General features: G+C 48.2%; 1 protein-coding gene across 1 annotated transcript in view, besides 2 other annotated features; it reads left to right on the top strand.

Annotated features, from left to right (window-relative positions):
• Positions 2,292-2,476: a silencer, noted in NCBI's record as "fragment chr3:37485219-37485403 (GRCh37/hg19 assembly coordinates)". NCBI's record gives its function as "represses an EF-1alpha promoter that drives an FKBP-Casp9 reporter gene in an ReSE screen in HepG2 liver carcinoma cells {active_cell/tissue: HepG2}" and the evidence as "EXISTENCE:reporter gene assay evidence [ECO:0000049][PMID:32094911]".
• Positions 10,483-10,792: a silencer, noted in NCBI's record as "silent region_14199". NCBI's record gives its function as "represses an Ori minimal core promoter by ATAC-STARR-seq in GM12878 lymphoblastoid cells {active_cell/tissue: GM12878}" and the evidence as "EXISTENCE:reporter gene assay evidence [ECO:0000049][PMID:35858748]".
• The window catches only part of ITGA9 (integrin subunit alpha 9), a 371,367-nt gene continuing 366,761 nt past the window's right edge, over positions 10,705-15,310 (top strand). Inside the window, exon 1 of the mRNA NM_002207.3 lies at positions 10,705-11,123. Within this exon, the coding sequence (NP_002198.2) occupies positions 10,939-11,123 (185 nt within the window). The 5' untranslated portion in view covers positions 10,705-10,938. The remainder of the gene's footprint in view (positions 11,124-15,310) is intronic.

A 15,310-nucleotide genomic window follows, 5' to 3' on the forward strand; every position in this document is an offset into this window, starting at 1 on the left:
AGGATTTCCTTGTGTCCTGACTCAGAAAGGCAGCTGTGGCAATGCGGATCTGTTATGTGGCTCTAACTACCATCCCCATCAGCTCACCACTGAGGCGAAGAGGTATGTGTTTGTTATCTATTACTGGGTCATAAATTACCCCCAAATTTGTACTGGTTTTCTATTGCTATGTAACAAATTACCTCAAAGCATAACGGCTTAAAACAATATCAATTATACTACAGTTTTTGTTAGTCAGGAATCCCGAAGTGGCTTATCTGGGTGCTTCTGGCTCAGGGTCTCTCATAAATGGCAGTTAAGCTATTGGCTGAGGCTGAAGGTTTGACTGGACCTGTAGGGTCCGCCTCTGAGGCGGCTCCTGACATGGCTGGCAAATTGGTGCTTGAGGTTAGCAGGAGGCTTTACTTCCTCTCCACATGGGCCTCTCCACAGGCTGCTTGAGTGTCCTCACGACATGGCGGCTGGTGTGGCTTTCCCGGGATTGAGCAACCCGAGACAGTAAGGTGGAAGGGACAATGCTTTTCGTGGCCTATCACAGCAGTCCCACAATATCCTATTTGTTAGAAGGAAGGCACTAAGATCAGCTCCTGTTTGAGGGAAGGGGAATTAGTCTTCACCTTTTGGAGGAAGGAGTGTCAAGAGAATGTGTGGATATATTTTAAAACCACCACAGGGTGACATTTCCTGCCATTTGCGTACACATCCCAGCATAGCATTGGGGCTCCCCTCACCCCTTCTTGCCCCGCCAGGGCTGTGAGTATTCTGTGTCGTTTCCCATGTGTGAGACCCTGTGTGTGGATCCCACAGGCAGATTAGGTCAGAAGAGGATTCTGGGAAAAGAAAAGTCAACCTGTCATTAGAGATCATGGACAGTGGGCTGAGTCCAGCACAGGACTCTGAGAGGGAGGCGGGGCAGGAAGGCAGTCCATTCTTAACATACTTATGTAGTCACTTTTCTGTCTTGAGGCACACAAAAAAAACAAGGTCATATCTTTTAATGTCTCAGTAAAACAGCTTGAGCCCTCCCCTTATCACCTTGAGAAACGCCTCAGGCCTTCCTCCAAGGAAAGACCCCCAGGATGCTTAGTCATATCCAAAATGTCAATCCCTGTCCTTTCCACCTTGCCTTTGCAGTCAGAACCTCCACCCAAGGCCAGAGGATGCCCCAATGTCATGTGCACTCTATCTACCCCACTGGCATCCCAGGCAGTGTGATCAGGGCTTAGTGTCCTGCTTCTGCCACCTCCGCAACTGCTGGCACAGACCTTTTCATAGTTGCAGCAGACCCTGGGGCATGTGGAGGGAGGACCCATCTTCGACTCCCCATTGCACTCAGCAGATGTGGCCACCTTCCAGTATCACTGACTCAGACACACGCACCCAGCCCTTGCCCAGGGTGCAAGCCTGCCTTCAGGAAGGATGACTGCACCCAGGCTGGCTGTCTCAGCTCCTGGACTCAGAATCACTATTACCTCCTCAACCCCAACTTCCTGCAGGAGCTAGTTCACCTGTTTTTTATGTCAGGGACCTTGGGGCCTTCCCTGTCACTGGATTTGATTCGGAGTCATCCCAATCTCACAACATATTATTTATTCCCCCCTTCATGTCTTTGAATAAAATTGATGCACCCAGAAGGTATAACATGTATATCTTGCAGCTTCAAGTACAAGAGGTCCTAGGCTTCAACTTAAAAACTTTCTGGGGGAAGGCATAAGAAGGCTTTTCTTGTGGGAGCGTGTTAAGCAGCAGAAGGGGTCCCAAAACGTGTTTAGTGTTTACCCTTCCCTAAAGACATTTGCTTAGAGTTTGGAGTACACTGAGGCTGCCTGAAAGAAGACAGGGAAGAAGCTAGAACTGCCCTTCCATTTCCTGCAAAATTTCATCTCCTGCCCCACTCCCCTACTCGTAACTCTCCTTTAGACACACTCCTCTATGGCAGACAACTTCTGATACATTCAATTCCAGGTACTCATTTTTTGGTGAATGTTCCATTGCATCTGAATGATATTGAAGTGAACTTCTCTTACCTGCATGTGTGTGCACACACACACGCACACACACGCACGCACACACACACACGTGCGCTCACATGCACATGCGCACACACACGCACATGCACACACGCACGCATGTGCATACACATGCACACACGCACATGTACACATACACACACACACATGCACCCAAGGTCAACACCTTAAAATCCCACTGCATTTAAACCATGAGTGGGTGGGACCTTGAGGAAATCACCAAAGATGTTTCAGGAGTCTCCCTCTGATGGCCCACATCTGGGAAGCCCTGGAGAGATGTGGATTTGACAATTTACGAAAGCTAAGGTAGAGAGGGCCCTGAAAAAGGAGCTGGCTAGCCGGCCGCTGATGTGAGAGTGAGGTCATGGGTGCTTGGGTTGTGACTCACCTCTCCAGCCCTTCACAGGGCACCTGAAGCACCTGGGGGTTTGAGGGCTTGAACACTTAGACAAAGGAAGGCTCTAAAATGGCCCACTGAAACATGCAGACACCTTGAGAAAAGTGTTTTGAGTTTTTCTTTTACTCCAAATAAAAATAGCTATTTTAAAAGAGTGGAATAAATGACATAATAATAATGGCACTAAATTGCTAACATGTACCAGTTGCTTCCCTCATGCTGCGATGTGCAGAGTGGCTCATTACATTTAATCCTCACAACAAACCTTTGGGTATGATTCCCTGTAACAAATGGGGAGAGCTCAAATAACTTCTCAGGGCCACATACCTGATGCTGTGGACTGAATGCATGTATCCTCCAAAATTCTTATGTTGAAGCCCTAACCCCCAATTCGCCTGTATTTGGAATATGAAAGTAATTGAGGTCATAAGGGTGGGGTTCTGATCTGATAGAATTAGTGTCCTCTCTCTTGCTCTCGCTCTCCCCTCCCTCCGCCTCTCTGCAAGCACGAAGAGGTCATGTGAGTCCATAGCAAGAAGGGGACCATCTGCAACCCAAAGGAAGAGCCCTCACCAGACACCAACTCTGCTGCCCTTGATCTTGGACTTTCAGTCTCCAGAACTGTGAGAAAATAAATTTATGTTATTTAAGCCACCCAGTCTGTGGTATTTTTTTATGGCAGCCCTAGAAGACTAATATATCTGACAAGCCACTACATTGGGATTACGAGCACCACAGCCCTCACTGTTACTCATCACCCTAAACTGCCTCCAACAAATATCATCATTTTAATATTTTATGTTTTGCTAAGCCATAGGCTAGCTTTAATATTTCAATTGAAGTGAGAAGTGTTTTTAAAACTTGGCATTATGTTGTACAGCTGTATTCTAACACTGATGGTTGTTGCTTAAAGCCGTTTCACTAAATTTAGATCTCTGGAAAAAAATTTGTTTGAGCATGGAAACAGGTTGGAAATATTGCACCCAATAATAACAGTTTAACTTTTGGCTTATGAAATACTTCAGTGGGAAAGTATTTGCTCAAATCTCTGCCTGCTATTATAGTTGAAGGCTTGGCGATAGTATTTGCCCTTCCTCTGAACTTTCTGGATATCAAAGCCACGTGGAAGTATAGCTTGTCTTATGTATGAAAAACAGGGCAAGGCAACTTTTGAAGAATTGCCGTTAAGAGGTGCATTTAGCTGTGTCAATCATTTAGACAACGATTATCTGGTATGTGAATGATCCAAACCCTTTTTATTTTTTTCTGCCTCTTTTGAAAATACTGTGAGGAGCCATCTGGCTATTGACCACTTCTTCCTTCCACATGATGGCTGGTCTACCTACCTCAGTTGGCAAAGTCCCCTCAACAGAGGCCAGGGCCAGAGGGCAGGGCTTGTTAATAGATGGGAATGAGAGCTGCCCTTGGCTCCTCTTTCTTTCTCTGTTGTGTGAAGGTCAAGTTGTCTCCTCATTTGGAGATCAGATAGCTGTGTGTGCACAGCTCTTGATCCACTTCCCTATTTCTAACTTTGATTAGTGACTTTGGCTTTACGGAGGTAGCATCTTCTACATCCACTGCTGGATGTAGACATCCACTGTGTCTCTGTAGACAATTCAAGCAGTACTAAAGGAGTGATAGATAGACGATAGATAGATAGATAGATAGATAGATAGATAGATAGATAGATAGATAGGCAAGAATAGCCCATAATCTCAACCATAATCATTATTAACATTTAGGGTAAACTTCCAAATCTCTTTCTTTGTGCATATATACATACAGATGCATAGAAATTTACATATACCAGATTATAGTAGGCATGTCCTTAAGGAACTTGAGTTATTACCCTTGTTATGCTGCAGGGATTGTTCCTTGTCAGTGTGTAAAGTTGCATGCCAACCTTTTGTAACAGGCTGTGTAAGGTGCTGATTCAACCAAATAGTGGATAGTATAGGCTGGATTGTGCATTGTTAAGAACCAAGTGGCTAAGTTCTTTAGGGCTAACTCCAAAGAAAACCCGACAGTTGGCATTAGATGCCATGTGCCCCAAGAATGAGAGAGGATGAACTGACTTTATGGGCCTTGCTCTTTTGGAGGGATTAGAACTACAGAGATCACTTTTGGGGGGAGTGCAGTGTTCATGGGCTGGTTATGTAATAAACGGTATATTATCTTGTAATATATGGGGTGTGATGCTGTCTTCTCTTCTAAACTGAAAAAACTTGATTGCAGAAACACATTTGGCCCTAAGAGTTTTGGACAAGGATTGTGAACCCATCATATGGTCAGTCCTCATTTCACATGGTTCTATGGTAACTGAGATAAAATCTCAGACTGCATCTTCCCAACTGGATCACTGTGAGGTTTACATAAGATAAAGTGATCTATAACATGCTTAGTGCAGTGTGAGACACATAGTGAGTGAGCCTTCCTTGCTGCTAGCAGTCCTATCACCTTACAGCAGCATCTGCTCTGCTCGAGTGTCTGTACCCGTCAGGTCTCTGCAAACCGGGCTCTCATAATCAGTGGGGAGTGTCTAAACCTCCATTTAGGGTCCTCCTACGGTACACTCACACAGACCCCAGAAATGCAAGCAGTCCCTTGGGGGAGACAAGGAGGATGTTAGAGAGTTATGGTTGGGAAGCTTTGTCAGGGAGAAATTAGCATTTCCCATCGGAGACCATGGGAAGGGCACTCTAGAAAAAAGAGCACAGGAAAAAGTATGGCTCAATACAGGGTCCAGAAATACTCACCTGGAGGAACTATGTGTATTTCCTGCTATAGTAATATAGCATAGTATTTGTAATGAAAAATTGTATTCTAAACCTAAAGATTACTAAGCCAATTGGCTTGTATTAAGAGCCTTAGATATCTACCTAGCTTTGACCTAGTAGTTAAGCATTTAGGAAATAATGAGAGGCAGATAAAAATCTACAAATGTATAAGCAAAAAGAAAAAAAAAGATATTAGAGAAAGGAAGGATTAAAAAGACTAATTAATCTTAAGAGTTTTTCCTTTTTCTTTTCTTTCTAGAGACAAGGTCTCACTGTGTCATCCAGGCTAGAGCATAGTGGTGGAATCATAGCTCACTGTAGCCTCCATCTCCTGGGCTCAAGTGATCCTCCCATCTCAGCCTCCCAAGAAGTTAGGACTACAGGTGCATACCACCATGTCCGGTCACTTTTTTCGCCCTAGAGATGAGGTCTCACTATGTTGTCTCAAACTCTGGCCTCAAGCAATCTTCCCATCTTGGCTTTCCAGAAGTTGGGATTACAGGCATGAGCAACTGTGTCTGGCCTCCAAGACTTTTTTGAGGCTTCTGAAAAGCCAATGTTGTTTTCACCCCAACATTTAATCATTCCAATATTCCTCTCTGCAGTGAGGCAGGAGGGAGCAGAGCAGTATAACCATCACTTCTTTTGCATTGTTACAGTAGCAGTAACAATTCAACAAAGTATGTATGTAACTGTTTAATTGTTTAACAATGTAACTGTTTAACAAAGTAACTGTGGAGAGCAATTTTGCACAGCTTATAGAAAACGCCAATGCTAGGTGAGCTGATAGAGCATGCTGTTCAGTTTGCAGCCACTAAGGCTAATGGAAAACCTTCAGATTCCTTCTTGAAGTGAGAGCATAAAGGAATGGAGGGCATTTGGTTGCCATTTCCGTTGGGAAATTGGACAAGAGGTTCAGTTTTTCAAAAGTCTCCATTCCATAAAGCAAATCTACATTTTGCATGGCCAGGTTTGAAATAGTATGCCTCTCCCCTCCAGCTGGTGACCCTGGAGACACGCCCTTCAGGTCAAGTCTCTGTAAAACAGCTTATTCTGGCAACTAGGAAATTGAGCTCACTCTTGAGCTCAGATTATACGAATAACTAATACATGTTTAGCGTTTTATGGTTAGGAAATGCTGTCCTGAGAAGCTCATCAATAGGTTTATTAGTTATTGGTATCCTTGTTTTATTGATTTACTAAAATTACACAGTTGTTCGGGCCTGGGAGTTAAATTCTCTTCACCAGATGCCAAATCCTACGTTTTTCTTACCACATCATGGTGCCACAGGTTAAGGAATACAGTGCAGGGTTCTGAATCTCTCTCCTGTAGGACAGTGCTTCCCAAGCCTGGCTACTTGACAAATCTCCCAAGAGGTGTTGGAAATGCAGATTCCTGGGCCTTGCCCCTAGATTCTGACCTAGAGTGTTATTAGTAAATCTGTATTTTTAAATAGTTGCCTGGTGGTCTAATATACAGTCAGGATTGACAGCTACTGTTTAGTTAAATCAAACACCAATGCTATAATTTTTAACCGATATCATTTTTAGGGTTTGGTTTCCAAAGTTGGAAATCAGTGTGTTTTAGATCAGTGGTTTCCTGTCTTCTAAAACCTACCTTACCTTTAAAGAATCTGTTGAAATCTGTGGATCTTTCCCTAAGAAACACACAAACACACACATACACACTTTTATATATAATTCTAGAGGGCTATATTAGTTTCCTGCTTCTGCTATAACAAATGGTCACAAGCATAGCGGCTTAAAACAACAACATTTATTATCTTACAGTTCTGGATGTCAGAAGTGGGACAGGAGTCTCACTGGATTAAACTCAAGGTGTTGCCTTTCTGGAGGCTCTAGGAGATAATCCATTTTATTGTCTCTTCCATCTTCTAGAAGCTGCCTGTATTACTTGGCTCATGGGTCCCTTCTTTTATCTCCAAAGCCAACAATGTGGCATCTCTCTGACCCCACTTCCACTTCACATCTCTTTCTCGTGCTACAGCCAAGGAAAGGTTCTCTGCTTTTAAGGATTCACATAATTAGACTGTGCCCAGCCAGATAATCCTGGAAAATCTTTCCATCTCAAGACCCTTAACCTTAATCACATTTTCAGTCCTTTTTTGCCATATAAGGTGACATATTCACAGGTTCCAGGGATTAGGAGGGGGACTATTAGTCTACCAACCACAGGGGATCTTAGGACCTCTGAAGCAACATGGAAAATGAGTGAACTCTAGGTTAGGAGCATCTGTTCTAGATTCCATTCATTCTAGATGTTAAATCAACAAGAAATTCTGCTTGCCTACAAATAACAGAATCCCTAAAAGCAGTGGCTCTTATAAATTAGGTGTTTACTTTTTTTCAGGTAGTAAGAAGTCCCCAGGAAGGCATCCCATGTCAGGTGCAGCAGTTCTAGCATGTGACAGCTGAAGTCTCTGCAATTCTCCTGGCCTTTCCTTTGAGGTGGCCCTCAAAACAGCTGCTGCATCTCCAGCCATGACCTCTGTGCTTCATGCAAGAGGGGCAAGGGCACAGGACAAAAGCCATAAGTCAGCTGAGTTGCCTCTCCTTTAAGAAACCTCCTGAGAAGCCTACCACCCAAATAACATGCTCATATCTCATTGGCCAGACACTGCACATGGCCACTCTGTCTGCAAAAGAGACTGGGAAACATAGTTTTATTTATTTTTAAAGCTAGGCATATTAACACTCCACTAACTCTGGGCTTTGTTAGTAAGGAAAATGGGAAGTATAAATATTGGGAAGATACTAGTGCTCTCTACCACAGATGAAAACTTCAGCCAGGCACAGTGGCTCATGGCTGTAATCCCAGCACTTTGGGAGGCCAAGGCAGGTGGATCACTTGAGCTCAGGAGTTTGACACCAGCCTAGACAACATGGCAAAACCTCGTTTCTACCAAAAGTATAAAAATTAGCCGGGCATGGTGGTACATGTCTGTGGTCCCAGCTACTTGGGAGGCTGAGGTGGGAGGATTGCTGGAGCCTGGGAGGTCGAGGCTGCAGTGAACAGTGATTGCACCACTGCACTCCAACCTGGGGGACAGGAGCGAGACACTGTCTCAAAAACAACAACAAAACCAAAAAAAGAAAAACAAAAGAAAACCTTGTGTTTTGTGTTCTACAACGAGAATTGATCATTTTTCACTCTCACACAACCAAAACATGAAGAAAGTTAAAAGTCTCCTTCAAAATCTCCCCCATAGTGCCTCATCCTCTTACTAAGCTTGCTTTTCTTTAAGCAGGTCATTCTTTTTTTTTTTCATTTTTCTTGAGATGGATTCTTACTCTGTCACCCAGGCTGGAGTGCAGTGGCACGATCTCGGCTCACTGTAACCTCCGCCTCACAGGTAAAAGCAGTTCTCCTGCCTCAACCTCCCAAGTAGCTGAGATAACAGGCGTGCGGCATCTCGTCTGGCTAATCTTCTTATTTTTAATAGAGATGGGGTTTCACCATGTTGACCATGGTTGGCCAGGCTGGTCTCGAACTCCTGACCTCAGGTGATCTGCCCGCTTTGGCCTCCCAAAGTGCTGGGATTAAAGGCATGAGCCACCGTGCCCAGCTATTCTTTTTCTTTCTTTTCTTTTTTTTTTTTTTTTCAGATGGAGTCTTGCTCAGTCACCCAGGTTGGAATGCAGTGGCGCACTGTCGGCTCACTGCAAGCTCGACCCCTCAGCTTCAAGCGATTCTCCTGCCTCAGCCTCCCAAGTAGCTGGAATTACAGGCATGTGCCACCATGCTTGGCTAATTTTTTGTATTTTTAGTAGAAACAAGGTTTCACTGTGTTGGCCAGGCTGGTCTTGAACTCCTGACCTCAATCCACCCACCTCAGCCTCCCCAAAGTGCTGTGATTACAGGAGTGAGCCACTGCGCCCAGCCAGTTCATTCTTTCAACAATGTTTAAGCATCTACCTAAGCCTGGCACTGAGCTGGGCCTTGGGGGCTACAAAGATATCTAAGACTTTTTTCTCCTTAGAGAGCTATACCGTCTATGGAGAGGGACAGAGAGCCCCCAAAATGATGAACATGTTCTAAGTGTTGAGATAGAGGCATGTGAACACTCTTTGGCAGCCCAGAAAAGAAAGGGGAAGAGGAAATGGCACAGAAAGGGTGAGGCAAGAACTGGCCTGGAAGTCTAGGATGGATAGGATTTTGCCAGTTGAAGAGGGGTAGGCACATTTCAGGAAGAAAGAACAGCGTTGGAGAAGGCACAGATGTGTGTGAAAACCCCTGTTGGACACGTTCAGGGGACAGCTAGAAGTTGTGTGTGGATACATTGTAGGGTTTGTGGGAAGTGAGTCAGGAAAGGGGCATAAAATGGGGCTGGAAAGAGAGATGGAGCCTCCATGTGAAGTTATGCTAAGGAGATCGGGCTCCATCCTATAGGCAGGAGTAGGTGGTGGGGGGCAACGGGAAGTTTTCAACCATTATCCAAACTCTGTTGTAGAATTAAAAAGTGGAAAGAAGAGAACACAGGCAGGGAAACCATAATAGTGTGGTCAGACTTCAACATGATAGCAGTCAATTCAGTAGGAATCTTGAATTTGAGTAGTCAAGTTCATAGAGACAGAAGGTAGGAAGGTGGTTGCCAGAGGCTGGGGGTGGGGATGGGGGTAGGGTTAGGGGGAAAGAGGAGTTATTGTTTAGGGTATAAAGTTTGTTTTCCAAGATGAAGAGTTGTGGAGATGGATGGTGGTGAAGGTTGCATAACATGCATATACTTAATCCCCCGAACTGCACAGTTACAAATGGTTAAGATGGTAAACTTTCTGTTATGCATATTTACAATTACACACACACACACACACACACCCTTCAGTGCACGCAAACCCTGCTGGACTCCAACCTTCAGAGCTTCCGATTTAGCAGGGCTGAGTGGGACCTGAGGATTTGCATTTTCTGACAAGTTCCCAGATGACGTTGATGCTGCTGGTCCGGAGACCACACTTCGGGAATCACTGGTGTACGAGACCAAGTGACTAGAATATGGAGGGGTGCTCTGCTCGCTTCCACGTGGCTACTATTGTTATGAACAACAACAGCCGGCGTTTACTGAGCACTGCTCCTACAGCTTATCTCACAACTGGGTGAAGGAGCAGAGGATGCGCAGGGCTAGAACCTGGAGTCTAAACTCGTCCTTCACCCGGGTTGCTCTGGATCTTACTGGTTGTGAGACAGGGAGGGAAAGAGAGACAAAGGCAGGGAGACAGGCCCAGCAGGGCCGGCAGAGCCTGTAGTGACGGAGGGGAGCAGCCTTATCTCCGGGAACCCGAGCGCCCCGTGCGCGGCGGGGAGGGGGCAGTTCGGGGCGCCCCGGCGGGTCCCAGGGGCTGACTCCCGCCCGGGAAGTGCGCGCAGGGCTCACGGCCCGCAGGGGGCGCTGCCGCGCCGTCCAGCCGCCGCCGCCCGGGCCGCCCACCTCGCGGGCGCGCCCCTCCGCAGACCAGCGCCGCCCGGCCCGGGACCCGCTCGCGCAGACTTCTCGGGCGGACTGAGGACGCCGCCGCTCGGGGCCGCCCCTGTGCTCGCCTTCAGCGCCCGCTCAGCCCGCCGTCCGCGCCCCGGTGGCGGGCCCGACGCCCGCATTCCGCCCGTGTCCAGGCGCAGAGCTCCCGCCCCGGGGAGCTTCCTGGCCGTCGGCGGGCCCCGCGGCCCGCGCGCTCGGCGCCCTGCTCGCCGGGCAGAGGGGAAGGCGGCGGCCGGCTGGGGATGGGCGGCCCGGCTGCGCCGAGGGGCGCCGGGAGGCTCCGCGCGCTGCTGCTGGCGCTGGTGGTCGCGGGGATCCCCGCGGGCGCCTACAACCTCGACCCGCAGCGCCCCGTGCACTTCCAGGGCCCCGCTGACTCGTTCTTCGGCTACGCAGTTCTGGAGCATTTCCACGACAACACGCGCTGGTGAGTGCCCGCCCGACTCCGCGACCCTGGCCCGCGCGGCCACCGCCCCGGCCCCCAGGCCAGCGCCGCCGCCGCCTTTCCGGTCTCTTCCACGCCGCCGTCCCGAGGGGGCGATTTAAATGTCTCCGTTGCGCGCGGCTCGGCCGCCGGGGGACGGCGGGAGAAGGGAGGACGCCGTCCGGGGCCCGCTAAGGTCGGGGTCGGCGCCTGGAGGCGGGCGGGGGCGTCCGGGTGCCTCCCTGGGGTCCCAGCCCAGAGCGTGGGGGGAGAGCCGCTAGAGTTGTCTCCTCCGCCGCCCAGCTAGACTCGGCTTCACTCTCTGAATCGAAAAGTAACTTGGCTCCTCTGCCTCCGGGCGGCCGCCGCTGGCCCAGCGAGCCTCCTGAACCTCGCAGGGCCTGGAGGAGTCGGGGCACTGGAGCTGCACCCCTCCCCGGTTTTGGGGAACCCCTGAGGAAGGAGTATAGCCTCTCCAGCGCCGCTGCGCGGGGTGGGGCTCCCCAGGGGCAGGGTGTCTGGGATCCACTGGGGCGCACTGGAGCCCAGAGCCCCGGCGCCCCCCCCCCCCCCCAGCTCCTACAAGACCCTGGGTGGAAGTGGAGCGGAGAAGCTCCTAGGATATAGGGAAGAGGAAGGTGAGGGAGCACTTCCCAGTGACACCGCCGGTGGGGCAGGTAGTTATCTCTTGGGAGAGCCTGAGTCTCATCTCATATGGGCCATTCGACCCGGAGACCTTCACCAGAAGCCTTAAGAGAGAGACGTGTTTCTATAGTGGCCAAGGGGTCCAGTTGTCCCCTGAGTCCGGAGGGGTGGGCCTAAGAAGGGGGCAGCTCTCCCCCATTAAGCACCATAAGCCGAGTGGTACAGAGCTTGTGCCCAACCCCAGCAGAGAAGCACTAAGGGGGGGTTGGTGCCCTCCTTGGCCACATCCTCTGGACCAGAGGGTATAAACAGCCACACAGTGGTCACTTCTTGATAGGAGAGAGAGTTAGGCTGCGGGAAGTTCCCCCGTTCAAGGTCGTGCCTCATGGGGGCCCAGGTGACAGCCAGGCCGGGGTTGATTTTATTGTGTATTCACCAGCCTGAGCGTCCTTAGGGGTGGCAGGCAGGGAGGTCGAGGTCACTGATGCTGGTGCTCTCAGCATGTAGTTATGCAGGAGAGTCACTGCTCTGTATTGGACAGAGGCTGATGGAAAAGGGTGGTTTGTGGATCGCAGTACTCAAGCATTCCTGGAAAAGGGGACTCTGAGACCAGCCCACTAAGAATCATGCTGTTCAGGAGATCAGCCTTCAAGAGAACCAGTTTTCAAAGCCCTCACATAGCTCTCGCCCAGCTCCACATCTCCCTCTCTCACTTACTCCAGTTGCTGGGTATAAGACCGAGTGTGTCTGTTCTTAACACTTGTCAAATTCCCCTTTTAAAGCGGAGCAGGCTGAACATTTTTCTGTGTCCTGCAGACTCAGGGTCTGAGGTTGAAGAACACATCCCAGATCCCCACACTAGGCACCAGGCACGCGGGAAGCACTGTCAAAAATGGGAGGGCTGCTGTGGACAGCGGGCTGCTGAGAAAGGGCGGGCAGCTGAGCAGGCAGCCAAGCCAGCCGGAGCATTGTGTGTGATCTGCAGGCTGAGGCTGGCTCAACTGCCTTGGAGCTCTTTGACAGCTAGAGGGAGAGAGGCCAGGCCACTGTCACTGTGGATTTGCATGGGCCACAGGTCAAAGCCACACTGCCTGGGAAAGGAATGGGTAGAGACGAGAGCAGATCTGACAGAGAAAAGGTGTTCAGCCTACTTGGATTTAAAACGGGGATGAAGAAAAGCTGTGTGACATGAGCAGATTTGGCCAGTGTGGGAAAAGACAGTCTGGCCTTCAGCTTGGTACCCAGGGTAAATGGTAGGGAGTGGGTGTGGAGCAGTAATGCTGTGCATATTCTTGTTGCCAGTTGAGATGTGGGACTGGTATTTCAGGGGTCCATGGGAACCCATGTGTCTGGGCTGCTGAGCTCAAAAGTGCCCTCTCTTGTTCTGATACAAGCTGGCTACTCTTTGTATTGGAGTGCTTGTCCCCATAGCTGTTCAGGCACCAACTTAACTCTACTGAAATCTTTTTAAAATAATGCTTCTTTTTCCTCCCTCACCCACCATATTGACTTAATTTTTTCTTAGATTGTGTTCTCCCCTTGATTTCTGTTCTCATGCTGTTGTTTTCAAGTATTTTCCTCCCCATCCTTTTTTCTCTTTCCCTTTTTCCCAGTATTCTTTGTCTTAGACCTTGAATGTATTTTTTGCTGTATGTATGCTTGAATGTGTTTTTTACCCAGGCTTGGTAAACTATGGCCTTTGGAGCAAGTGACTTCCAACATCTTCTTTCTCCTTTTTCTTTCCTCTAGAGGCTAGACTTATTGTGCAAGGCTGCTGAAACTTAAGCCAAAGGATTCTTGCTTGCATAGGCCCCTATTAATGCCTTGTCCCCAATTTTATAATTTTATGTTAATTTTCTTAAAGTTAGTCACCCTAAATTTGTAAGATCAGGTCCTGTGAATTCTGGATCTGTCCTAAGTCTGTACCTTAACTTCAACTGTGGGGTTGGTTGATTGACTTGGTAACTGATTGTTGGTCGCTTACTCCTAAGCAGTACCTGAGCCCTGGATCTTCTAGTCCTGCTTGAGGGACATGTCAGTCATTTTCAATTATTCGTGATTGCAAACAGCAGCAGGGGTAAACAACCTTTAACGAAACCCTTGAGGACAATCTTAATTATTTCCTTTGAATAAATTCCTGGGCTTAGAATTGCTGGGTCAGAGAGGATGGAAGCTTCAAGGCATTCTTTATGTATTACCAAAGTGCCAGTGAAGTGTGTGTACTTTAGAAAAATACATTAATTTATTCAGACACTGGAGGCTTGGGAGTAGTTTTGCAAAGGGCTGCTCTAGTGCACTGAAAGAGTATAGAACCTACATGGGGGTGACTTAAAAGGATCACAAATACTCGTCAAAATGAGTGAGGAAGGTAAAATATAGACATGAAAGGGAAAAGCAGTATAGCAAAACTTTGAAAGGAAAAGAAGACATGTTAATTAAGCCTTGTATCTTACGTCTCTCTTCTCGAAGAAATTATTCTTTGTTACTTAATTCAATATTTTGCAGTCTAAGATATTTGCTTCATGCTAATTAACTACCTGTTTTACAGGTGAAAAGATGTGTTGTCTCTAGGGAAAGGGAGGGAGAAGAATGTGCTGGAAGTGGTAGGGGGAGAGCACAGACCCCAAAGTCAGCACGGACTCTGCAGGCGGCAGAGTAGAGCGTTCCCATGTTGAGGGACCTGCGGGTGTACATCTCAAAGCATGTGAATGTGCTCTGTTGGTGGAACTAGCACTTCTCTAATCCCATAACTGAGCATTTCTCTCAATTATTTTGTAGACCAAAATTGTCACTAATCGGAGGATCCTAGATCCCTGTGTAAGTGTGGGGGTGATCTTGCTTTTCCCAGCCCTGGTGACTGAACCCAGCTCTGTAGCCATATCACACTGAGCACAGAGCCCCAGACCCAGCTTCTCTCAGAGTACTTGCTTGAGTGGTCCCGCTGTCACTGTGCTCTGGGCAGTGAGAACTGTCCCCATGGCTAGATGGACCAGAATATCCTGGACAATGTTCCAGATGACGTTTGTATCAGCTAGGATACAAACATGCAAGGGACTCAATTTTCTTTTTTTCTAATAACACCCAGAGTGTCTGCCTGCCCAGAGCCAGCTTCCTCTCCTATAGCTCCCACTCCCTGAGTCTTCTGGCGTCCTTTGAACAACAACAGTAAGTGCCAGGGAACATGGACAAAGCCGATTTCTGTCCCCTTCCTTTAGACATGGACCGGTTACTCAGCTGCAGGGCTGACAACTGTAACACCCTGTGATATAAATAAATGCTGCCTGGCTGGCGTGCAGCCTCCAGAGCGGACGTCTTTCACACCCCACCCCGTCCCCTCCTCCTTCTCTGCCCCAGACGCCCTGGAGTCCAAAGTGGTTGGGTGCACTGGCTTCCTTTCTGGAGACGTGCTTCCTGCTCCCTCTCCTGGGACACATCAAGACGGCTGTGCTTAGGCACAGAGCGAGTGCTCGGAAATGGAAGATGTGCTGGGCTTTTTGCTTTGTTAAAGTTGTCAGAGTGTTGTTCAGTGAGGAATAGGAGGCAAT

Source organism: Homo sapiens, chromosome 3 (assembly GCF_000001405.40).
Source record: "Homo sapiens chromosome 3, GRCh38.p14 Primary Assembly".
In the NCBI taxonomy this organism is placed as follows: domain Eukaryota; kingdom Metazoa; phylum Chordata; class Mammalia; order Primates; family Hominidae; genus Homo; species Homo sapiens.